At 36.5% G+C, this 26100-nt stretch overlaps 1 long non-coding RNA gene across 2 annotated transcripts in view; it reads right to left on the bottom strand.

Annotated features, from left to right (window-relative positions):
- Nucleotides 1-23369, bottom strand: part of LOC105378814 (uncharacterized) — a 34806-nt gene extending 11437 nt beyond the window's left edge. The window contains exons 1-4 of one of the 2 annotated variants that reach the window (XR_947532.3): nt 23101-23369; nt 19002-19234; nt 8750-8887; nt 97-169 (exon numbers count right to left, since the gene is read on the bottom strand). This is a non-coding gene — a long non-coding RNA (uncharacterized LOC105378814). Of the gene's footprint in view, nt 1-96; nt 170-8749; nt 8888-19001; nt 19235-23100 lie in introns of those variants that run through there. The other variant, XR_947533.2, reaches the window with a different exon arrangement.
- Nucleotides 23370-26100: the final 2731 nt, after the last annotated feature.

Genomic DNA, 26100 nt, shown 5'->3' with positions numbered 1-26100 from the left:
CTATGAAGGAATCATTATTAGCATACTCTAGATCCAGTCTTTGGCAGGAAGGGGCAGAGTATGTAAATTCATAGCAATGTATAGACAGGACCGTGGAGAGGGGCCAAGTCTATAAACATGGAAGCTTGGAAAACCATTATTCGAGGAAGAGATGCAAGAAGATATTGGTCTGAAAAATATTTAAAATAAATTAATGAGAAATAATAGAAGCTAATGAAATACAATTAACATGAGAGAAGAGAGAACAGGAAAGCAGACAAACAAAAAGGTTACATTGAAATATAACGGGCCTTTTATTTGCTTAAATTTCAGGGTTGCTTTTTGTTGTTGTTGTTTTTCTAGATTTACTCTCACCAGTGTACCAAGTTTTATTGCAATCTGTTAACATCTTTGGAAATGCTTCAATTTGGTTCCAAATCTACTGATATGAAGTCTATTTCCTGCCAAGATATAGTGGCGAGTTCAAAGTGTTTGTATATGTTCTTTCACTTTATTTACTTAAAAGAAGTAATAGAAGTAAAGGAAAGGAAAGTCGCATAGAAAAATAATCCTGACTTGTTAAGTAGATTCTTGCCAGAAGACTCAGGCTTTCTGATACATAGAAAAAATTCACATTTGGATACCATTTTATAAAATCTTGTCTAAACTGATAAAGCAATAAAAGCAGGCCAGCACCAGTCATACTATTTCTAGTATAGCGTAAGAGTTAAGAAAATGAGCTTTGCAATAACTTATGATTGAGTTCAAATTTCAGCGCTGCCCCATAACAGCTGTATAACTTCAGACAAATTACTTACCCCCTTTGAACTTTAACGTCCTCACCTGTAAAATTCAAATAATGCTTACCTCAGAGGGTTAATAAGATTAAGTGAGAAAATATATGAAATTACTCAATACCTGACATCAATATTAAGCATCATTCTTACTAAAAGATATGACTAACAAGGTGGCTTTACTCAGTTTAGGTACCAGTTTTTATTAACACTAAAGCTTATTTGAATCACAGTTTGGCAATCACCAAATGTATTAGTTAAAAAAAAAAAAAAACAGGACAACGTAAGGAGAAACCATGTACAGACTTTCTTCATTGCATGCATTAAAGCCCTAACTTTAGCACAGAATATTTAAGCTTCAAAGTATTTCATCAATAGATCAATAAACCCCTAAATTAGGAAGCCTGGTTTCATTTTATTCCCCATTTAATCTCTGTTTTCCTTTTCTCTCCCATCCCTAGTAATAGACTTTTCTGATTCTCACCTATTGTTGTTTCTAAGGTTCTTAGGCTTAGACTTAAGGCTTTTAAGTTTATCTGTCTGATTACTATTCAATCACTTAGCAAATACTTATTAATTTCCCATGTTATGTAAGATTCCATGCTAAGCACTGATCATATTAGGACTGGCTGAATAAGATAGACAAAATCCCTGTTCTCAAAAAAAAAATAAAAAGCAAGTTAAGAAACTTTAAATGACCAATTAGATCCTCACTTATTTAACTAAGTTACTATTAATGACAAGAAGGAGGATGGCACAATATTACAGGATTACAAAATAGTATATTGGCAGAGATTAGAGATTTAACAGGTAAGGATTGCCTTTAAAAAGGTCATTCAATAAACATCAAAGGAAATGTAGGCATTTGTAAGTGCTACATAAAAAAAGAGCCTTAAATATAAGACATGTAATACTTAAAGTTGCTCACAGAAATCGTGTGTGATTGGGGCTCAGAGAGAAAGGGAATGGCTCACAGTGAGCATTAAGGCAGGCTGGAGATAGATGATGGAAGTCCTTTTGGGCCATGTTGGATATTCTTTATTTCTTTTTAAAAGTTTGTTTTTCCTAGTAGGGAAAGGTTTACTGCCAATTCTGTAGTGCACTGCCTTTGTTGACCCTAGTCAATTTGTGTACACCATTAGCCTTTGAGCTCACTGTTGATATGCACTCAATCTGCTCTAAAGGATGGACATTTTCCTTGGCTGCCTGTGCCCTAGGCTATAACTCACATTGCCTAGGGCTCTATGATCTCTCATCATTGGCTTCCAGGAGTAGGTTAGTGACACCATTGGATATAACCCTTGACCCCAAGTCAGCACTCTTTGCACATCTATTCTATCAACCCAGAGCAGGCTTCCACCAACAATCAACTCTTTCTGGTTTAACTGACTGTTGGAGCCTACAGTGAAGATTCCACCCTTTGGCTAGCCTTAGCCCTCCCTCCAGTCTCCATCCTCCATAGCAGCTCCACCAGTTACTTTTTGTTAGACTTTTAGAAGTGTCCAGAATTTAATATATTTTACTTCTCTTCCTTCCAATATACCTGCAAGGTAAGTATTCTTTCTTAGCTTCTATTTACCCATGAGAAATGTGAGCATTAAGGAGATTTGCTCACTTGCCCAAAGTTAAACGTACAATATACAAAAATCTAAACTCAAGACTCTAGTTCAAGAGAAAAAATAACAACAACAAAAGCAGTGCTAATTATTTTGCCCCTTGTTTTAGAGAAATAAAAGCCATAACACAGAGCTATGAACACCAAGTAAAATAGATGGTACCCCAAAAAGGACTATTCCTTGAGACATGAGATCTATTTCTCTTTTTTTTAAAATTTATTTTGCTATTTTTTTTGTATCTGTTTATGGATTGATGCCCTACCTCCACTCATTTCAAAAATCTTACTGTGCATTCAAAATTCTTCAGCTCTCATCTCTCTCTTACTCAGCGCTATAATTGCTCCCCCAAACACAACAATTTTTCAAAACTAAACTGCCAGAACTTCAAGTCAAAGTTTTAATTTTAAACTGGACAGGTCTTGCCTTTGGCTGACACATTTCCCTGGTAGTTTTTCAAAGTTATTTCAGCAAGGCTAACAAAATTAAGTGAGGTGAAAGAAAAAACAATTTGTACTTTTTAGGTGGAAAAACACATTTTACTTTAATTCTCTTTTCCTGATTACTGATGTAGACCCAGCACAACATAAAGGAAATGGACTGTGTGAAGGAGAAAGGCACAAACAGTACCAGAGAAAGTCAAAACAAAAAAAAGAGGCTGTTATTCTCTCTAAAATCTGCATTAGCCCAGAAAAAGGGTCTACACTAAAGCCATGGACAGACTCTAAAATCACCATAATCTTTGGCAAATGTTCTTAAACTTGCCTCCGTTTTTTGAATCTAAAAAAAATTCAGGAAATTTTTCTGGAAAAGGTTACACTGTACTTAACTTTAACTTTTATCTTTGTAGGAAACTGTAGCCCTTGAACTAATTCCAATATATTATACATTGCCAAGTGCAAAAAGTTTAAAATTAAACTTGTATATTAAAAAAAAGAACAGAGGAAAAGTAAGTTACTTAAAGTAATATCCCAGTAATGTTTATCCATCAAAAATATGAGACAACGGGGACTAGACCTTAGAGTAAAACATACGAATTTTAATTTCATACTATGTAACGGAGAACTGTTGAATAGTTCATGAGATGTATGTTAGTTTTGATAAGCTACTGCAATTTACATTGTATTTTATTTGGGACTTCTCAGTATTCAAAAATGACTCCTTACTGAAGCTTTCTGTATGAGTGACATCTTTTCTGGAACATTCACTCCATAACCTTTAATTAATGTGTCCTTTTGTCACTTAAAATATAATCTAAATGGTTTTTTTTGTTTGTTTGTTTGTTTGCTTTTTTGGTGGGGGGATAGTTTAAACCAAAGAGGAACAAAAATAAACACTGGACTCATTTTTATCATCTTGCCAAGAGACACAACTATAGATAAGCATCCATGGGTATGATAAGCAAGAACTGAATCTCAAATCCCATTCAGGGTGCTGAAAATTCCACCCTTAATATATTTGTAAACACATTGTCATAAAATCAAACGGCTTGCCTGATGTTGATGCTACACCACTTGGAAATTGTGCAGGGGACCTGAATCTAGGAAATGTAATTTCCCTGTTGCTTACCTTGTGAAAAACCCTATTTTTAATATCATCTGGATATGAACTAGAATGATTGTGACAACTTCATCTCTAATGCAACGAGAGTTGTTGTGTTTATTTTACAGAGTTTTGCTTGTAGCAAAACACAGAAATACCATAGAGAGGAACACATACTTTATGGGTCTGCTGCTGATGATTTTGAGTGGCAATCAATCTTCTGGCTACGTGCAAATGCAGAAATACTGACCAACATGCAAAACACTTCAACTTTCAGGGATATTTGAGTCAAGAGGAACCCAGTGTGTATAAGTTCTTCTTGTATAATTTAGCACAATTCATTTAAATAAATGCATTGCATACCTTCTATATGCAAAATAATGTGCAATTTAAAAGTTCTTTCTCTCTCATTAAACATAATAGTATGTAGTGTTGAAGAACATTGGACATACATATGGAAATATTGCCATTCAAATCTAGAGTAATTTGTCTAGTGTAGTATTTTGTATTGCCTCCTTTAAAAAAGCTGATGAGTGTCCTATTTATTATACATTCCATCTTAAACCACAAAAGAAGTAAAATAACTTACCAAACTATAAGGTACAATCCACTTAAACTTTATTGGCATCTACTATGAGCTAGAGACAATTTCAAACTGGTCAATGGCACTCTATGTCTCCTTAATTAAAAAAATATTTTCACCATGTCATGTATTTTATTTAGAAATTACTTGCATGTTTACATCTTTGAAAACCACTAATTTAGCAAAATCAGGAAGCAGGGCCTTCTTTAATACATTCTTTAACATTTCAGTTAAGAAAATTTGCTTTTAATGGTGAATATCTTTAATGCTAATAAATCATTAATAATGGGAAGTTAGCAAATAACATTCTTCATTTTTTCTTTCAATAAAACCTCATTTTTAAAAATTTCATTTAATTTTGTTTTAAGTTCCAGGATACATATGCAGGACGTGTAGGTTTGTCACAATGGTAAATGTGTTCCATGGTGGTTTGCTGCACCTATCAACCCATCACCTAGGTATTAAGCCCCACATGAATTAACCATTTAACCTGATACTCTCCCTCCCCCGGCTCCACCCCTGGACAGGCCCCAGTGTGCGCTGTTCCCCTCCCTGGGTCCATGTGTTCTCATTATTCAGCTCCCACTTATAAGTGAGAACATGCAGTGTTTGGTTTTCTGTTTCTTGCATTGGTTTGCTGAGGATAATGGCTTTGAGCTACATCCATGCCCCTGCAAAGGACATGATCCTGTTCTTTTTATGGCTGCATAGTATTTCATGGTTTTATGTACTACATTTTCTTTATCCGGTCTATCACTGATAGCCATTTAGGTTGAGTCCATGTCTTTGTTATTGTGAATAGTGCTGCAATGAATATACACATGCATGTATCTTTTTAATAGAATGATTTATATTCATTTGGGTATATAGCACTGGGTATATACCCAGTGGGATTACTGGGTCAAATGTATTTCTGGTTCTTGGTCTTTGAAGAATCACCACACTGTCTTCCACAATGGTTGAACTAATTTACATTCCCACCAACAGTGTAAAATCATTCCTATTTCTCCATAGCCTTGCCAGCATCTGTTGTTTCTTGGCTTTTTAATAATTGCCATTCTGACTGGCATGAGATAGTAGCTCATTGTGGTTTTGATTTGCATTTCTCTAATGATCAATGGTGTTGAGGCTTTTTTCATGTTTGTTGGCCGCATGAATGTCATCTTTTGAGAAGTGTCTATTCATGAATAGGACCTAATTTTTTTATAGATGGCAATTTTGTCTTATGAAACAAATTGAATAAAATATTTTTACAGATAATTACACTCTCTGGTTCTTCCTAACTGAGATGAGGCTTCATCTCATTTCCTTTTATTGACTGAGTACTATTTCCAAAGTATTTCCACTCTGCTACTAATGCCTTTTATGCCTTCGTATACTGCATAATGCCTGGCATTTTCTCACATTAGGATGGCTGCCCACTCTTCATCCTAAAGCCAGTAGTTTTAGCTTTCTTCTCAGAACGTAAAATTGGACATCTGACCTCAGCAAGAACATTCCACTCCACCAGACCTCAGGAAGAACATTCCACTCCACCAAACTGGCTTTTTTTTTTTTTTTTTAAGACAGATTCTCACTCTGTGGCCCAGGCTGGACTGCAGTGGCACAATCTCGGCTCACCGCAACCTCCGCCTCCCAGGTTCAAGCAATTCTCCTGCTTCAGCCTCCTGACTAGCTGGGGCTACAAGCACATGCCACCACCCCTTGCTAATTTTTATATTTTTAGTAGAGATGGGGTTTCACCATGTTGGCCAGGCTGGTCTCAAACTCCTGACCTCAAGTGATCCACTCGCCTCGGCCTCCCAAAGTGCTGGGATTACAGGTGTGAGCCACCGCGGCCAGCCTCCACTAGCCTGTTTTATGTGCCCTAATCTTCTCTGCACTTATCAAAGGAAGTTTAGCTAAAATGGTCATGAACTTCTCAGAGGCCTGGCATGTGAGACTTCCCATGAAGAAAGGCCAAGTTTTTCAAGTCTCAGAAGGCTTACCAAATTAGGTTCCAAGGCTATAACTTACTAAATTAAAAATAGACTGCTCCTTTGAGGAACAAGTAGAAAGATCTAAAAAGAAAAGAAAAGAAAAAAAGAAAACCTAAGAAAAAAGTGGGTAAAAAACACTAACATTGAAACATGCAACCTCCTGGTAGACACTTCAGACTTTGATCAACCAAGAGTAGCAGCGTATCATCCAAACCCAAATCTTTTTACTGTGTTCAAATTGAATGGTGTAAGAACTAATTTTAGCTCCAAGTTTAAAAAATTAAACAAACAAACAAAAACTTTGGGTAGTTTAAGTTCTCTGGAGGTGGGTGTAAAATAATGGGAATAGTAACCATAATGTTCTGAAATCATTGTCTAATAAAAACAATGCAAGCTCTCTATAAGTTCAGTGTGTTTGTTTTGTTTATTGCTGTACCCCCAGCACCTAGAACATCGATGTTGCTCATTAAACATTAGTTGTATGAATGTTTTATAAACAAATGAATTTCAGTGGAATGCAATAGGGCTACCTGTCTATACCCCTTTTCTAGCAACTATTCTCCCTTACCTTCACATAGTGGGAGCAGGCACAAGCAAATTAGTAATGACCCTGACCCCTGACCATAGGTGATTGGTTGAAGAGTATATAATTCACCCAAACTGGGCTGATTACAATGCCCCACTTCTTTCCCTTCCCACCCCAGTCACAGCGAGTGGGACTGAGGCTCTAACTTCACTAAATCTAGACCAGTAAATTCCTTCGCTAGGAATTGAGGTCTTGGACAAAGAAAATATCAAGTCAATCTCCATGGTATGGTTGATTCTTACATGTAAAATTTAGGAACTGTTCACAGTCTTGTTTCCCACATTAAAAAAATATGGACAAAAATTCTTGATAGTACCTTCACTCTAGTTCTAATCGTCCTCAACACTCAGATGCATTTGTGGTCTTTAGTTGTGTGAGACACTTGAGTATTCACAAAGTAAATTTTCTTAAACTAGCTGGAGGTTTGTTTTTCTTTACCTGTTATTTGAAACTAAAAGAATTCTAAATTCTTCCTACCTTCCTCCAATCTTCCCTTCCTCCACCCCTTTCACCTTCTCTTCTCTCCTTTCCTTTCTTCTCTCCTTTCTTTTCTTCTTCCTCCCTCCCTCCCTTCTTCCTTTTAAAATTAGCCATTAATCCATCTATTTCCTATCTGAACTCCATATCCTACAAAAAAGAGGTTTTATTTCAAAATGAATAACTAATAACAAGCTGTCAATTCCCTGAAGACTGGGCCTCACTGGTAAGAGAATGCAGTGAACAGAATCATGAATTGAGGAGAACTTTTAGTCTCTCAAATGTGGTCATTCATTTCTGTTGATATATGCACAGGGGCGTAATACAGAAGATTAACATTATTAACAGAATTTTTCTAATAAGTTGTTTTCTTCCCATTAAGTCTAAATACTGTATGTTTCTGGACAGCATGATTGATGTAATTATTACTCTAAGTGCCAATTACTGAAGCAAGAGAGCACTCTATGCTTAGTCTGAAACTGCCAGGATGCTCCTAGGTCGAAATATCTAAAAATGTGTAAGTCCAAAACACATTCAGAATGTGTAGCACTGACCTTCTTTTCTAAACTCTAACCCTGGAGGTTACTTAATCTCAATAAAACTTATCTTTTCTGTTTGAAAACCTCAGCCTTTGAAATAATATGTGAAAATCTTAAAAAAAGAAAGAGAAAGTTTATTTAAATTCGTGTGATTTTAAAACTACTTGGAATAATTAAAGCACCAGTTAATGTGTTATCATTATAACCTATTCACTAATAATAGTTAATCATTGCTAACCATCATAGTGCCTATTGTGTTCCAGGTACTTTAGTAAGAGCATTATACGTATTAAATCATTTAGTTCTCATATGATTATCTGAGGTAGGTATAATTATAATCCCCATTTTAAAGTTAAAAAACTTGAAGACAATAAAGTTGAACAACTTGCCAATTTCGCTGATGGTGTATTTGTCACAGTTTATTAGGGTTCTTGGTTGCAAGAGATTAAACTGACTGAATTAAACCCTCCATATATTCTTCTAGAATCAACAATTCAGTTTATTTGCTTTTCTTTGATATATCATGGGATGAGTTTGCATTGTAAAACAAAGAATGGATCTGAGAAAGATTTGTAGGAAAAAAACAAATATTCAGCAATAGAGAGTCAATAAAAATGTTCTTTGGGTCTTCATTTGCTACCTAATGATTTCATTTACCTTTGGAGTGATGAGGCTGCCTTCACGTATCAAAGGAGAATTTTGGCATAAGAAGGCTTGGATTCAAGTTCCTGGCTATTCCACTTCCTGTCTGTAGTGGAGCATGGCACATCACACTTCTGACATCACATGGCTCATCTATAAAATGAAAGGAAGGATTCTTGCCTTACCCATCTTAAGTGATTTTTTAAGAAACAAAAAGGCAATTCATGTAAAAATTCTTTGTAAATTGTGAAACATGAAAGCATATTACAAATATAAGACATTATTATCCTGAAGTTATAGGCTTTGAAATATGAAGTATTGTCATGGGATCCTTGGGGTGTTCCTTCGCCAGCTGGAAACTGCAGATAAAGAATAATATCATCAGGTAACTGGCTTTCACATTTATTGCAGAGAAAAGGTGGAAGCAAAAGGAATAATATCACTAAAATGTTTGCTCAATAATAATTTTCTTATTCATCTGAGCTAGATTCGCTATTAGAAGCTTACTGGGTGAGAGGGAGTCTTTCCCCCAAAATTTATATTACTTTCTTTAAGAATATTGACAATTATAACTGCATCTACAAATCTCTCATTTATGGCTTTCTCAAAACATTTTTTCAAAAAGGTACAAATACGCCAAAAATATCAAAAGTGACTTGGTTTCGAGTTATATAAGGGCAACTCTTGCAAAACTGTTAGCTAAGCATTGAATACTTTCTCCTTTACCAACGTTGCCCTTCAGAATGAACGATTAGGAAACTTAAATTGCATTATCATATTTAAATAAGTCTCTGCATAGACTTATTTTATTCTTTTTTTTTTTTTTTTTTTGAGACAGAGTCTCATTCTGTCGCCCAGGCTAGAATGCAATGGTGTGATCTCAGCTCACTTCAACCTCTGCTTCTTGGCTCCTGGGTTCAAGCAATTCTCCTGCCTCAGCTTCCTGAGTAGCTGGGATTACAGGCATGTACCACCACACCCGGTTAATTTTTCCATTTTTAGTAGAGATGGGGTTTCACCATGTTGGCCAGGCTGGTCTCAAACTCTGACCTCAACTGAACCTCCTGCCTCAGCCTCTCAAAGTGCTGGGATTACAAGCATGAGCCCCCATGCCCAGCCGACTTATTTTCATTTATTAATTTATTTTCATAGTAGTATGAGGTACATGGGAAGATGCCCATTTTTCAGAAATAGGAAATGAGAAGAACTACTATAGATGAGAGAGTAGGGAAAGAAAATGGGACCTTGTAGTTTATTTCCTATCTGTGTTGAGTTTAGTTGTATAACTGTGTGTCAGTACAACCAGGTGGTAAAGGGGAGTGAAGAGAAAATTCTGGGGCTGTGGGCACATTTAAAAGCAGCTCTACTTACTGTAGTGAGTTTAGAGCTTTAGAAGCAATCACATCAGCTAACTCAAAAGACCCTTCAAAAATTTTAAGGCCACACATTTTCAGCATGGAGTATCCATGGTGCCTGTTCCACCCACTTTCTGTAATCATCCTGTCTCTCACTTTAACTCTTATGTCAGATGTTTGAAAGAACTTAAGCATCTGACCTTAGAAAAGTACACTATATTCCCCACAAGTTCACAGATTCCATGGAAACTAAACATGGTGCATTTAAAAACTATATAAACAGTAAATTAGCTATAAAAAAAACTCTCCATTTTATTTTATATTAAGCTTGGCCAATTTTGTACAGCTGCGTTCTCAGTAAATGAGTTTGGAAATTTCCACTGCAAGACTTTTCACTTAGGACTCATAGAAGAAAGAGGTCAGTATTCTTATCATCTTATCTCTGCTACTTACTCACTGGGTGGTTTTGCCCAAACTAAGATAAAAATTTGTAATAAGCAAATTTTTGTGGATAAGCAAAAAAAATTTGTCTTAGTTCTTAGCACAGTGCCCTGACACATGCTAGTAGCTCAATAAATGTTTGTTCAGTGAGTAAATGAATGAATGAATCGATGTATGAACAAGAGTTTTTGTTGATAGATAGTTAGACCTTATAAGTATCCTCCAGATGAAATGATAAAGGCTCTTCTTATCAGTCTTTTGTACTTGTTCCTAATACAGGGCAAACCAATTCTGAAAGAGTTGGAAGACAATTTCAGTAATATTTTCTCCCCTCCTTAAATAAATGATGCAATTTCTGAGTAAAGCAATTCAATTTCTCTTAGTTGTTGCAATTATTGACCATCTGATTAAGGCAAGTGTGTCTTGCTTTAAATGAAAGCTTGCTTTCAGGTGTTGTTACAATAAATAAATTTAACTCAACTTCATATTGATTCTGCTATATACTGAACAAAATCCTTACCATATGCTTCTAGTACCTAACTAAACTGCTGCCAAGGACTGCTCAGGTTGGCATAACTATTCAAACTAATTATGAAGTAGATTCTGCCTTGGAGATTGAGTGTAAAAAGTGACACACTGCTAATTATCTCTAAAGAACAGAAAGATAAGTAAAATTGAAGATGGGCATTGAAAACATGAATAGAAAAAAAGCATGAGGAAAATGAAGAAAAGATGAAAAGAAAAGTGAATCGTTTTTAACCTTCACAACTCAATTGATGTATATTTGTATGCCCATCTAGTTTTTTATGTCTAAGAAAAAAGAACAATTAGTCTGTAAAGAAGAAAGGTTGTTATCCTAGGGTCTCTTGTTAATTGAATAACAAGAAGAGAAAATGCTGCAGAAGAGGGAATGGGGGAGATCATCACAGGAAAGAAGAAATAAAGTTAACAGGTTGGAATATATATCGAAATAAAAAATGGGAAATAACATTAAACTAGAGAGAAATGATTTCTCATCATTCTTTTTGTGCATTGAATAAGCAAAAATAAATGTTGGTAGAGTCAGTACTGAATCCCTTACTGCTTAAATTGTTTCTTTTCTTGAATCTGACTCAACCAGAAAAAGTATCAAAAGCAGAGAATGCTTCACCCACTCCCTACTTCTTTTCCCTTCCTTTCCTATAACTTTGAGGTAGAGAAAGAGGTTATTCAATAAAAGTGAATACCAAAAGAAATTGGCAACATTATTCAACAAATACTTATTAAGCTCCTACTCTATTCAGGGTATGGGGAATACAAAAATGGATGGCAAATGTCTTTCCATACACTGTTTATAGTCTTTTTTTTTTTTTTTTTTCTGAGACAGGGTCTTACCTTGTCACCCAGGCTGGAGTGCAGTGGCATGGTCATAGATCACTGCAGCCTCAAACTCCTGTGCGCCAGTGATCCTCCCGCTTCAGCCTCCAGAGAAGCTGAGATAGTTTGACAGATTTAATGAAGTAACTAACAGGATAAATGATTCATTCAAAGCAACTGAACAGGTCAGTTTTATAAACTAGAGTTAGATATTTAGAATTGCTTTGAAATGGCTTTTTTATTGTTGTTATTGTTTTTCAAATTAGTCATGGAAGAGAAAATAGGAATCCATGTTTTTCTTGACTTTTTCTTTTGTTTTACAGCTGAAAAAAATTGTTTTTATTAAACATTGTTGCTTCTGATAGCTCCAACTTTGTGTCCTTTCCTGAAGGAAAATATACCTATTAAGAGATAAATCTTGAGATAAGAAAAGAAAAAGCTAAAATCCAGCATTACAGGTTAGAACAGTAGCCCATTATCATGACTAAGAAAAATAGATTTGTTTTACTTACAAATCCCTAATGACTTCTCAAATGTCATGCTAATAACTCAGTGATTACTCACTCATCAAAGAAAACACCCCATACTTAGAAGCCTTCAAGGCTACATTAGATCCTCACTTGTCTGAAGGTCACCTATAATTATTCACTCACTCACCTCACAGGGGTACTGGATGGAATGACTAATGTATCATTGATAACTACTTTAAATGGCACATATTAAAAGCCAGATTCACATCTTGTATTCCTTTATGGAAAGTCATTGAAAAGGTACGATAATGAAACAGTCTTTGGAGACTTTCAGCAAAAGAACCTGTCTGAATGGATGAGAAATCGTTTTTTAAAAGCAAGCTCACCAAGAAAGGACTGCAGTTGCTATAAAGTCTTGGCCCCCAATGTTATCTTAACAAATATTCTTGACATACATTACATTACATCATTGCTGCCATCTGTACACAACACTATTTTTTGCTGACAAGTAAGTGTGATAAGATGCAGCTCTTGAGACTATTATGATTTTATTTTAAATAAATGTGTTTTAGTAATTTAGCCTTTAACACAAAATGCTATTGTACTTTAAGACAGGGTTGGTTCTTTTTAAAGTGAAACAAATCTTGAATTTGCAATTTAAATGTACATTGTTTTCTTTTGGTAAACTCCACGAGAACACATCTCCAATATCCCATTTATTTTTCTGCATTTAAAGAACAAATTGTAGATTAAATCCATTGGGAATCACACATTTTAAATGACTCATGCTCATTCTTGTAAGTTAATAAGAAAGAGTATTTATATAAATTCAGAAAAATATTCTCTGCAGCTTCTAAAGTGAAGACATGTTATGAGCTCAGAGATAATCAAATATGAAGCCAGTATATTCTGGACCATGGTGTGCTAAGGCTTAGTTGGAATAAGAATAAGAAGGAAGAAAACTAGTTCCAAAGTATCAGTATTTCTTTGGGAGGGAAGAGAGGTTGTGGTATCAATAGTTCCCAGCTATTTACCAGAATCTACCTAAAGAGGTAGCATCTCACCAGCCTTTTGATTAAGCATTAGTGTGATGGTTAATTTTTGGTGTCATTTTGACTGGATTAAGAAATAACCTAGATAGATGAAAAACCATTATTTCTGGGTGTATTTGTGAGGGTGTTTCCGAGGAGATTGGCATGTGCCTCAGTGGACTGATTGGAAAGATTCACCCTCAAGGTGATCAGAAACATCCAGTAGGCTGGGGGTCCCTGTGGAACAAAAAGGCAAATAAAATATGAATTCTGTTGCTCCTGGAGTGGGGACACCCTTCTTACCCTGCCCTTGGACATTAAAACTCTAGGCTCTTTGGTCTTTGGACTCTGTGACTTGTGCCAGCAGCTTCTAAGCCTCTCCCACCTTACTTAGCCTTGGACAGAGAGTTATACCTTTGGCTTCCCTGGCTCTGATGCCTTCAGACTTGGACCGAGCCAGGCTACCTGCAACCCAGGGTCTCCAGCTTGCACAGAGCCTATCATGAGACTGACTTCTCAGACTACGTAATACTATGAGCCACTTCCCCTAATGAATTACCGCTTGTCTATCTATCTATCTATCTATCTATCTATCTATCTATCTATCTACCTACCTATCTATCTATCTATTCATCCATCCATCCTGGAGAACCCTGACTAATACAATTAGACTAGCTCTATGAAAAAGTGATACATGATGGCAGAAAACCTCATGAGTTACAGTGGTAAATAGCAAATGGACAGGGGAAAAGTAGAGTGACAATAGGTGTACAAAAGTCTAGCAGGTAGAAAAACCATCCCCAAGTATGTCCATTCCCTAAAACCCTAAAATCTGTGAATATTTTATGTTTCATAACAAAACAGACTTTGCAGATATAATCACAACGGGGAGATTATTTTGGATCACCAGGGCCCAATGGCATCACATAAGCACTTAAAAGGAGAGAACATTTTTCAAGCTAGAGACAGGAGACATACATCAGAAAGGGAGATCAGAGGTACCGGATGCATAAAAAGGACTCCTGCTTGTTGGCTGGAGACAAGACAAAGAATGCAAATGGTCTTCAGGAGCTGAGAGAGGCTCCCAGGTGACAGCCAGCATAGTAATAGGCACTGGGGCCTACAACCGCAAGACACTAAGCGTAGCCAACAACTTAAATGAGCTAAGTGGATCCTCTCCTAGCACAACAAAATACGAATAAGCTGACACCTTGATTTTGGCTTTGGAAGGTGGTATGTGGAGGAACCAGTGAATTCTACCTGGATTTCTGATCTACAGAACTGTGAGATAATAAGCTTGTGTTGTTTTAGCCACTAAGTGTGTGAAAATTTGTTACAGTATTAATTGTGACAAGTAATAAAAAACTAGCTCAAGAAGGAAATTGTTATAACTGATTGTATATTAACTTTGCAAACGAAGCAATATCAGTTATGTTCTTAGGATTCAGCTTATATTTGGGATCTAGGAACATCTCTTCACTGAACACACCTTTTTGAAAGACATTATGTTGGATGATGCTGATGGGAAAAGTGCTGGAAAGTCAATATCTGTTTACTCAAAGGGAAGACTCAGGGAAAGACCAAGAAACACATGACTAACTCTAACCCATCAGGATAATAAAAGCTGTTGATAGAGATTCAAACAAAATAATGTGGGAACCAGAGTCTGATCTGACTCCTGAAGGAAGTGGGGGTTGCGGGGGCAGTTCACAGGGGTTCAGTGGAGATGAGTTCAACAGGAAGAGGGTCTTGGCATTGTTTGGGAATCTTTTCCTGTCCCACTGTCTAGACAGGATCTCATGTAATGAAGTACCTCAATGTGCAGTACATTCTGTACCATCACGATGCTCCAGGTCTCACCCCAAGCCCGTAATACAAATAGACTCAATGGATTCCAGGAGGTTGGATGAGACTGTTCTAATACGTGCAGCCTCAGAGTTTAGTCTCCTAAAAAAGTTCAAATCAAATTTACAGCTTTTTCTGGCAATTGGGAGTTTGAAGTTCTCTGACATGATTCAGGAATGTAACTTAAAGTACTTATAAACGTAGTTTCTAATCCTCATTATTTTTCAGAATCAACCATGGGTTTTAAAAGAAAAATAGAGTTGCCATATTCCTATCCCCAAATAACAGAATCAGAATTTCTATAGGTGAGTCTTAGGCATATGTATTTTTTTAACTCCTCAAGTGAATAAACTTTATTTTTATTAAGTCCTCAAGGAATACTGATTGCATAGCCAAAGTTCTGATGAAGGCAGCAGTGAATTCAAGGTTACATAATCTGACAAAAAACTGAACTTCACATACACTATGCTCATCATGTAACAAATCACCTGAGGGAAGGCAGAGTCATCACTCTCTAATGACCTCATCTGAGAACTTCCGTGATAACCTCACCTGCACGCACACATGGTCACAGAGGAACTAGAGTGGACAGCTGCAAAATTTACTCAAAAAAGTTCTGGTTTCACTTCAATGTGAATAAAAATTAATGCTCAAAACTCCAAAATTTTAAATTAGGTTATGGTTCTCATAAACTTTGCTTGAAAAGAACAATGTAAAGCATACACCATTACTGGCTATAGAAAAATATCAATAAGGAATTTGTAGAAGGGAATATCTGAGGGGAAAACTGAATCTCAACATATACTTCTAAATAACTAAATGTAATGAGCTTCTGTTGTTAATAATTGATAACATGCTGAATAAATATTCAAGAGCTTCTGATTTTGATTTTTTGGTAGTGATCACCGTTACTCTGGACACTATTTTTTAAAAAAAGAAACAAGAAGTGTTACAGTAGGTAGCTAGTCAGGCATGAGCGGGGCAGGAGAGGGCTCCCCCCAGTACACACACACACACACACACACACACACACACACACACACACCACGAATGTCAAGTGACCATCAGGTGGTTAACTGTCTCTCTAAAATAATAATTGGTCACAGATGACACCAGGGAAAAGCAGTCTCCTGATAGATAGAAAAAACCCTGAAATTGGTGTTCAGTAGCTTCCTGATAAGATCTCAGGAGTTGGGTGAGTGGACTCAAGCATGCGCATTAAGAGGCAAAATGGCAAAATTTAACTGGTACATGACATTCTAGGAACATTCGACTGGTAAGGGAAGAATGCCTCAAGTGAGCGTGCATACAGCTCCGGTAAATTCACTGTACATGTTCACCTCCCAAGTGCTAGCAGGTCAATGCACATGCAAGCATCCCACCCCAAGGGAAGAATTGAGAAGAAGGGATGCAAGACCCCAGAAATATGCCAACATATAAAACCTCAACTCAAAAGGTCAAACTGCATACTTGATCTCTCAAGTTGCCAGCTTGGCCCTCTTCCAAGTGTACTTTACTTCCTTCCATTCCTGCTCTAAAGCTTTTTAATAAACTTTCACTTCTGCTCTAAAATTTGCCTCAGGCTCTCTTTCTGCCTTATGCCCCTCTGTCGAATTCTTTCTTCTGAGAAGGCAAGAATTGAGGTTGCTGCAGACCCATACAGATTCTCTGCTGGCAGTAAAAGTAGTCAGAACTATAATACAGTTAACTTAAGCTTGTGTGTTCCTGTAGAAGAGTATTGAACTAAAAATTACCTAGAATTTATCCAAAAAGAAACTTGTTTTAATTTGGGGGGGGGGGATATTCAATATATTATTATCCTCAAAGTTTGAGTATAAATGTGTGTTATGAGTATGTGGATTCCTTCAAGCCATTTTGAAAAATTGCTCTTTGTGACAGAAAGATAGAATTATAACTCCTTAAAGTATAACTATTGAGATACATTTATCTAGAAAAGTATAGTTAAAGGTTTCAAATATTGTTACTCAGTTTAATTGTACTGGCATAATTTATGTGTAAAGTCTATTCTATATATTAATGAACACTTTATAAGACCAGGAAAATAACAATTTTGTAAGAAACTTACTAGTAAGTGGTGAGACTGTTAAAGGAAAGGGGTCCAGATCCAGACCCCAAGAGATGGTTCTCGGATCTTCTGCAAGAAAGAATTCAGGGCGAGTCCATAGAGTAAAGTGAAAGCAAGTTTATAAAAAAAGTAAAGGAATAAAAGAGTGGCTACTCCATAGTACTACTACTCCATAGCAGCCTGAATATGGCTATCCCATATTCAGGCCTCTACTTTTTAGACCATATAGGGTAACTTCCTGATGTTGCCATGGCACCTGTAAACTGTCCTGGTGCTGGTGGAAGAGTAGTAGTGAGGACAACCAAAAGTCACTCTCATCACCATCTTGGTTTTGGTGGGTTTTGGCTGGCTTCTTTACTGCAACCTGTTTTATCAGCAAGGTCTTTACGACCTATATCTTGTGCTGACCTCCTCTCTCATCCTGTGACTTAGAATGTTTTAACTATCTGTGAATGCAGCCCCGTAGGTCTCAGCCTCATTTTACCAGCAATTATTCAAGATGGAGTTGCTCTGATTTGAACACCTCTGACATTTTCCCTCTCCCTTTTATAAGAGCACCCTTAATCCTAAGGGTTGCACAGAGATGAACATTCATCTTCTGTAACTTCTTCAGGCTGAATAGGGGCAATGATATTCCTGTCTAAATATGACAATCTCTCGTATTCAGAGTAGAGAGGCATTCAGTCAGAAAGCATCAGTATGGTGAGGGTCATTCATAGTTCTTTAGTTCTGACAGCAGATGATATCTGGGAGATTAGTAAGTGTTTAATTTAAGAAAATGTTGAGTAAGCTTATCCTCATTCCTACATAAAGAGTACAACAGCAATAAATTCCACAAAAGACGAGCAAAATAAGTAACATAGCCCAAGTACACTAAATTAGAAGACTTTCCATGAACTGGACAACTGTTGGAACCAAGCTAATATGGGGTTACTACATGATTCCAGTATATGCCCAGAATTAGAATACTGATTCAGATTTTTACATTACCCAACCCTCTTGTTTCTTCTGAGCAGCCATCACAGGTCCTGGTTGGTTTACAGGAATAAGGAGGGTTAGCCTAAATTTCAGAAACAAACTTAAAAACAACTGGTGAGACTAGAATTTAATAATAAGTGTACCATAGTTCTTGAAACATAATAGTTCTCTCCAGTTTTCTATTTTTAATAAAGACAAATCATGATAAGATCCATTTGCTTTATTATCCTTGGCCTGATTATTTGTATAAAGTGCAGCAAGAATAATTATTTTTCACATAAGCTCTTTTTAAATTGGTTTGGATGGAACTCTGTTCCATAGAAGGAATCTTAGATAAGACTTTTTTAGAGCTGAGCCCTGCCATGAGTTTGTACCTTCAAATACCTATGAGTTGGGTAAATTCTTCTCCTCTTGAGATCCCAAGATAACTTGGGGCTCCTGGACTTGTTAGAAAGTGACATTCTTTACTTACCACAGGTCAGAAACCCTGTAAAGGGACTGTGTAGGCAAGATATGAGGCTAGTTCTCCAAGGGTCTTTTATTGGCTTTACAAGTCAAATTTGATTCCTTAAAGGAAAACATACCATTCCAGGGAAAGCACTGGTAAAATAACCAGTTTCTCCAACTGTGTCTTGTTGCAAAGAAAAACAGATACCTATTGCATTTAGGCAAATAACTATATTGCTGTAAATTAAGAATACTTACAAATAGTTTCCAAATTCTGGAGAAATTAGGTAGAGAGAAACAAATATGCTCCAAATTTTGTTTATAGGAGTATACTTTACTTAATTGCTTCAAGCTGTGAATAGCTTCTGTAGTTCAGTCCATGCAGTTAACTCCTGTTCTGTTTAATATTCATGAACATTCCAGTTTTCCACGAGAGTTCTGAAAGTTGTTTCTTCTATTCTAGTGTCACAATCTTCAAAGTTATCAGAAACCTGTATTTAAGAACACCTGTTAGAGTTCTATAGCTGATTATAAACCACCTTCTAAAGAGGACAAAAACAAGACAACAATTGTGTATGGATGTCAAAACATCTTAGGACAGCCACAGTTAAAAACATGATTGACAAAGCAATTTGGTTACCTTTGTTGCATATACAGTGATTTAATGTAACAATTATAATCATTACTGATGACATATACTGAGGCATATTAGAATTATAGGAATCTTATGCAATTTTGAAACACACACTAATAAAAAATTTATATGCATATAACCTAAAGAAAGTTAAACACCATTTCACATTTGATAATGCTTCCTATATGACTTTTATACCAAATAAAGCAAATGTCACTGTTTCATTCATGTATTATTGATGTCAAACCCAGTTCTTAATAAAACCTTATAGACAAATGTATTTAATTTTAATCAGTCTGACCATAAGGTATGATTTTTATAAACCTTTTATAACCCTTTACAAATTTTTGTTAAAGAGCAGATCATAAACAGGTTTCGGCTTTAAAAACAACCTGTTGTGCTTTTACTCCAATGTTTAGTTTATGGAAAAACTAAATACATTTTTAACTTTAGCCCAGTTTCCACACATAGAATCTCTTTTACAATTAATTTTTCACAAACTTTCCACAATTTGCTTAAACCTTCAGATTTTTCCTATTTAACTTAAAACAATCCTTTAACCCTTTAGGCAAAAAAAAAAAAAAATTCACATTCCCATGCCTTCTGATAATCTTTTACCAAAAACTCATTTCACTTTTGGTATACACCTTGCTTGTAAAACTGTTTCTTCAGTAGTCTCAAATACATGTTACACTGTTAACTCTTAGTGACTGTTACTTTGGTGAAAACCTTGGTAAGTAAGGGATTTTAATTATGTACTAGGTATGAAGCCTATGACCCAGACAGAAGTGCAGATAAAGTCTGACTCTTTCCAGCATCTAAGTCCACATGTCCCAGGCCTTACACAGAATTTAATTCTCCAAAATAAATAGAACAATTTTCAAAAGTCAAAGAAGTAGTTTATGACCTTAAAGCATTTAGCAAATTTAATATCTGACCTGTATAATTTAGAGCAAATATTTACATTTTTGAAGATATTTATATTTTACCAATAATCTTTAAAACTGTCTTTATTTCCCAAAGATTACTTAAGTCATTTGAACTAAAAGACATTAAACTTTTCACTTTTTTTTACAAAATATTTGATTTATGCACTTATTATTTATAAACCAATTAATATTTATATCACACATAATGCATGTAAGTACACAGACAGAAGAAGATAAATGACTCATCCCCTAAGCTGGGAATTGAACCTCAAACCCAGGTTACCGTTGTGAAAAAAGAAACCATGGCCACATGGTTACAAGGTCAAGCTCCCAAGGACATAAAAGACAACAAGAAAACCTCATATAGATTTTTCTGTGACCTGCAGCAAAATTTGTAATTGACCAGTTTGCTGGGCCATCTTGAAAACCAGGTGTATAGGGGTCCTAGGCCCCAATCTTTCCTAAGGTACCCCTCTTTATGACAGAAAAATACAGAAAGACACACAAAGCACACTAGATTCCTACAGTTTAAGCCTAGCCTCACAAAATCTTTCTTCCATTAATCAAAACTTTACAAAGGAGATAAACAGTGATTTTTACCTCTCATTCAGCCGATTTGCATAGAGAGAGAGAGAGAAAGAGAGAGAGACCAGAAGCCTAGCTAGTAAGAAATCCTTCCCCTTTTGCCAGTATGCCAGGTTTCTTTGTTCTCTTTCCTTGACACACCCTAATGACCCGGCTGGCTGCACTCTAGCCCTGGGGGCCAAGCCACAACAAAAGGGAAAAGTATTTTTTTTCCATTTTGGCCAGAGCAAAATACATGTTACAAAACATAGACATTAGCCACTATGCTTAGCACCCAATATCAAACTGGCAAGGCTAAAACTTGTCCCCAGTTGGGGCCCATCATAGTTAATCCAACCTCCAACCAGGAGTTTTAACCTGTGGTCTTTGGGCAAGATGGTCTCCCCGAGTAATAGAAAAGATAAGGGTAAGAAGAGACAGAAAAGCATTGCCTGTGGCAGGGTGGGGAAGGTGAGGTGTTCAAGGGGGCCAGAGAAAAGACCCACCAATTGCAGCTGACACTGAAAAGCTCAGGCTGTTGAGTGTAAAAGGCAGATTATTCCAAAGAGAATAGCAGTTAACATCCCGTGGTGCCAAACCCATTCTTAGATGTAAGGTATTTTATGGAGAGAGGCCTCTAACCCCTTAAATCTTAGAAGGGACTTTAACCCTCCTGAGGTGGGCCTCTAACCCAAGGTTGATCAAGCATCCTTGCCTTTTATTAAGAGGGGCCTGTAACCAACTCTGTCTTAGGAGAGACTCTAACTCCCCTAAATTGGGCCTATAACCCAATCCCATCCTTTCCCCGGGTACCTCACCACTTACCCAAAGTCAGCCGATCAGCACTGCAGTCTATTTCCTTTGGGTTGCAGGGTTTCTTTAGTATCATCCCTTCAGGGTTCAGGAAAAAGATGTTTCCAGACCCCACCACTTACCCGAAGTTAGCCTTTGGATCGGGGGTTTCTGCACTACAGTCCCTTCCGTGGTCACCAGAAAGATGTTACAGGAAAGGGGTCCTATCCAGACCCCAAAAAAGGGTTCGTGGATCTCACGCAAGAATAATTCAGGATGAGTCCATAAAGTGAAAGCAAGTTTATTAGGAAAGTAAAGGAATAAAAGAATGGCTACTCCATAGATAGAAAAGCCCCAAAGGCTGCTGGTTGCTCATATTTATGCTTATTTCTTGATAATATGCTAAAGGAGGGGTGGATTATTCATGCCTCCCTTTTTTAGACCATATAGGGTAACTTCCTGATGTTGCTTTGGCATCTGTAAACTGTCATGGCGCTGGTGGGAGTGCAGCAGTGAGGACAACCAGAGGTCACTCTCATCGCCATCTTGGTTTTGGTGGGTTTTGGCCGACGTCTTTACTGCAACCTGTTTTATCAGCAAGGTCTTTATGACGTGTATCATATGCTGACCTTCCATCTCAACCTGTGACTTAGAATGCATTAACCATCTGGGAATGAGCCCAGTAGGTCTCAGCCTCATTTTACCCAGCTTCTATTCAAGATGGATTTGCTCTAGTTCAAACACCTCTGACAAAAGTGCCACAAATATATTCTACATACCCCTGGAAATCTTTTATACAACATGCAGAGACTTTTAATAAAGATTTATGTCTAAGAAAAAAATGTTTTTGAGGGAGTGGAAGAAAAAATGGTGAGGCAAGCTATTTTTAATGACTGATTGTCATAAGCAGAGACATTTGAAGTCACTTCCTGATATAGAAAGAGATAAACATTTTGTTCTCTTGATAACAAAAATGATTAAGAGCAATAATAGGTATAGAGGCTGCTTTCAAAACACCTTCAATGTTATATAATTTTATGCTATAAAATGAAAGTCATTATTATTCTCATAATATAAACTATAGAAGATGAAGATGGACAAAATCCTGCCTGATGGAGCATGTGTAATAAAAGCTTGAGTACTAAAGGAGGATCAATTGCTTGAACCCAGAAGATGGAGATTGCCGTCAGCCGAAATTGTGCCACTGCACTCTAGCCTGGGTGACAGAGGGAGAATCTGTCTAAAAAAAGAAAAAGAAAAAAAAGCTTGAATAACAGTGAAATTACCTTTGCAAAAATTATATCAATGACAAAAATTGTAACAGTAAGCTAAGCTAACCCACCTCCATCTTGCCTTTCCGTTAATTATTCCTGGGCTAATTGGCAGAGCCAACTCTGGAAGAAATGTAGGCTACATTGTAAATGATAATAGGCCTTACCAGAAAACTCAACCACTTTTGTAAAGCCATCAGGCTCAGGGAAGGAGAGGAGACTAGGTCTTTCTAAGGCTGAGACGTAAACGATTGTCAGCCATTATTCCAGAGGTGTAAGATACGCAACTTCTCCAATTACTGCTGCAAATAGAATCTCTACTGTGGAACCTAAGATTGAACTTTGACATATATTTTCAGGTTTTTTTCATGTCTAACACCCATGGTTCCACCTGGACCTGCCAACCCCACTCTGTGGCCCCAACCAGAAATGATTCAGCCAGCAGGAGGACAGCTTCGACTCCCACTGTGAGTCCATCTTCTTCCCAACCAATCAGCAGCAAGCACCTGTTACCAGCCACCCCACCCCTTCATCCAAACTGCCTTTGAAAAACCCCTGCCCTAGGAGCTGTGCCCAGCCCCGTGTCCATTAAACACTTTCTCCACTACAATGCAGTGGTCTTTCTTTACGCAGTGCTCAGGAAAAACTCCTTTGTTGGTTACATTAGTATTCACCGTCAGCTTATGAACAACCTGAATGGCACGGCTGGATTGAGGAAGATTAACTGGGGAGCAATTCAGCCAAGAAAATTAAATGTATAAAAACAATTCAGATAATAAGATGAGTTTGAAATAGGGTTTTTCCAAGAAGAATTCCAGCAGAGAGATCTGCATTTTTATGCAGTTGAATAGATTCAACTTGTTGATGTTGGAGCATTGAAGAAGAGTCTCCTTATTAGAAAGAGTAAATCAGAGATGAGCCTTTCATTCCTTAGGGAGTTTAAGCACTGTGTCTTGTGTCAGCACAGTATTTGACTTGGAGGCTTTCTGCAATCTTTAGTATAATGGAAATACTGTTAAAAAGATAAATAAGTTAGTGTCAAGAAGCAGGATCTTCTGAAAAGAGATAAGTCTCAAACATGTTAAAGCTATAATTGAAAGCAATTAGACATTAAACTGCCAAGTACGCGAATATAACAAAGTGAAAAACTTGCCTAACACCTGAATCTTAATATATGTCATAAATTGATTACATTTCTTTTCTAAAATTTCATATTTCTGATAGTGCTATAGTATTTGTCAGTTAACATAGGGTAGTGAGGAGGGGAGATAATAAAATGGGGTTGTTTCATTGGTACAAAACTACAGTTAGATAGAAGGAATAAGATGTGGCTGATGCCTGTAACCCAGCACTTTGGGAGGCTGAGGTGGGTGGATCACCTGAGGTCAGGAGTTCAAGACCAGCCTGGCCAATATAGTGAAACCCCATCTCTACTAAAAATGCAAAAATTAGCTGGGCATGGTGGTGGGCATCCATAATCCCAGCTACTTGGGAGGCTGAGGCAGGAGAATCGCTTGAACCCAGGAGGCAGAGGTTGCAGTGAGTTGAGATCACACCACTGCACTCCAGCCTGGGTGACAGAGTGAGACTCTGTCTCAAAAAAAAAAAAAAAAAAAAAAAAAAAAATTCGAGTGTTTGGTAGCAGTATAGGGCGAATATAGCTAACAATAATTTTTTGTATATTTTAAAATAGCTCCAAGAGTAGATTTAGAATGTACCCAACACAAATAAATGATAAATGTTTGAGGAGATTGAAATCCTAATTAACCAGGTTTGATCATTACACGTTGCATGCTTGTATCAAAATATCACACACATCCCATAAATATGTACAACTATTATGTATCCTTAAAAATTAAAATTAAAAAATGTGTTAGTTAACATAGAACAAGAAACTTCTTTACAGTTGAGAATCTCAGAGAATAGGAAATATTTTAGATACAAGTAATAAAAAGTCAGTATGTCAAACATCCCATTACTTCAGCGTGAGGGTCTCTGCAAAATTTACTCTGAAAAATAATGTACAGTCAGAATAATAATTTAATGCATGAAAATGTATAACAAACATGCATGTTTTTAAAACATTGATATTAGGAGATAAAGAATAAATCTATGAAACAAAGAAAATTCTAATGCTACCTGATTTTAAATATGCCCTGATAGTTGCTTAATTTGTATAGACCAAATGTATTCTATCAGCCTGACATTTTTTAATGTTTCTCAATTTTGTAATCCAATTACTAATTTTAAAAGGTTTATAATAAGTACATTAAGTGATCATAAACTAAGCTTTTTAATAACACATTACTTTTTTAGCTGGGTTTGTATCATATAGTTTCCATGATTGGTCTAATTCATTAATAGCAAAGCACTCATTATCAATCCTGTTTTGACCTGTGAAATTCTGAAGTCTGTCTATTGCCAGTGGATCACAATGCCTTAGCTTAAAGCAGGTACAGAAAAAAGTTAAAATCACAATGTGGTTCAGTTATTTTGTAGGAGGGTTAAAAGCTTAAATGTGCTCCATCCAGTGTCAACTGCACATACATCTTGGAAATTAAGTGTTCTGCCAAAAGAGTTGGCACTCACATTCACAAAAGAGACACAATTTTTGCTTTGCTTCACCACACTTACTTTAAAAATGTACACTAGAAGAGGTTCAGCAATTCCACTCAGTAAGGAGCTACACGTGCTTTAATAAATCAAATGCTTGGTGAGCATCTTAGCTTGAATATGTTAACCTTGAGAAATTACAAGTCATGAAGGCCTTGAAAAAGTATCTAAAAGTAAAAGACAAGAAACAAATATAATTTTCTCTTTTATTTCAAGCTCAGAATTCCATATCTATCAAATATTAAAACAGCATTACTTTAAAATGCCCAAATGAAAAAACAGACTATCTTGTTCCTACTTCATTGCCATTCTGCTATATAACATGACCACATGTTCACAACATGTCAAGTTCATTTTAATATCATTCCTCACATCTTTTTCTCCAACCCAAAAAAGGTAAATATTCTCAATGAAATAGTTTGTAATTTCTATATTTTTCTGTGGACCTTGTAAAATTTATCAGCCAGTCACATTCCATAATTTTTGGGAGATTTCAAGTTGAATCACATACAGTTTAACAGTGGCTAACCCTAGGCTAGTGACTGGAGTTGGAG

Source organism: Homo sapiens, chromosome 1 (genome assembly GCF_000001405.40).
Source record: "Homo sapiens chromosome 1, GRCh38.p14 Primary Assembly".
Classification (NCBI taxonomy): Eukaryota; Metazoa; Chordata; class Mammalia; order Primates; family Hominidae; genus Homo; species Homo sapiens.
This window is presented reverse-complemented; position numbering and strand designations above follow the sequence as displayed.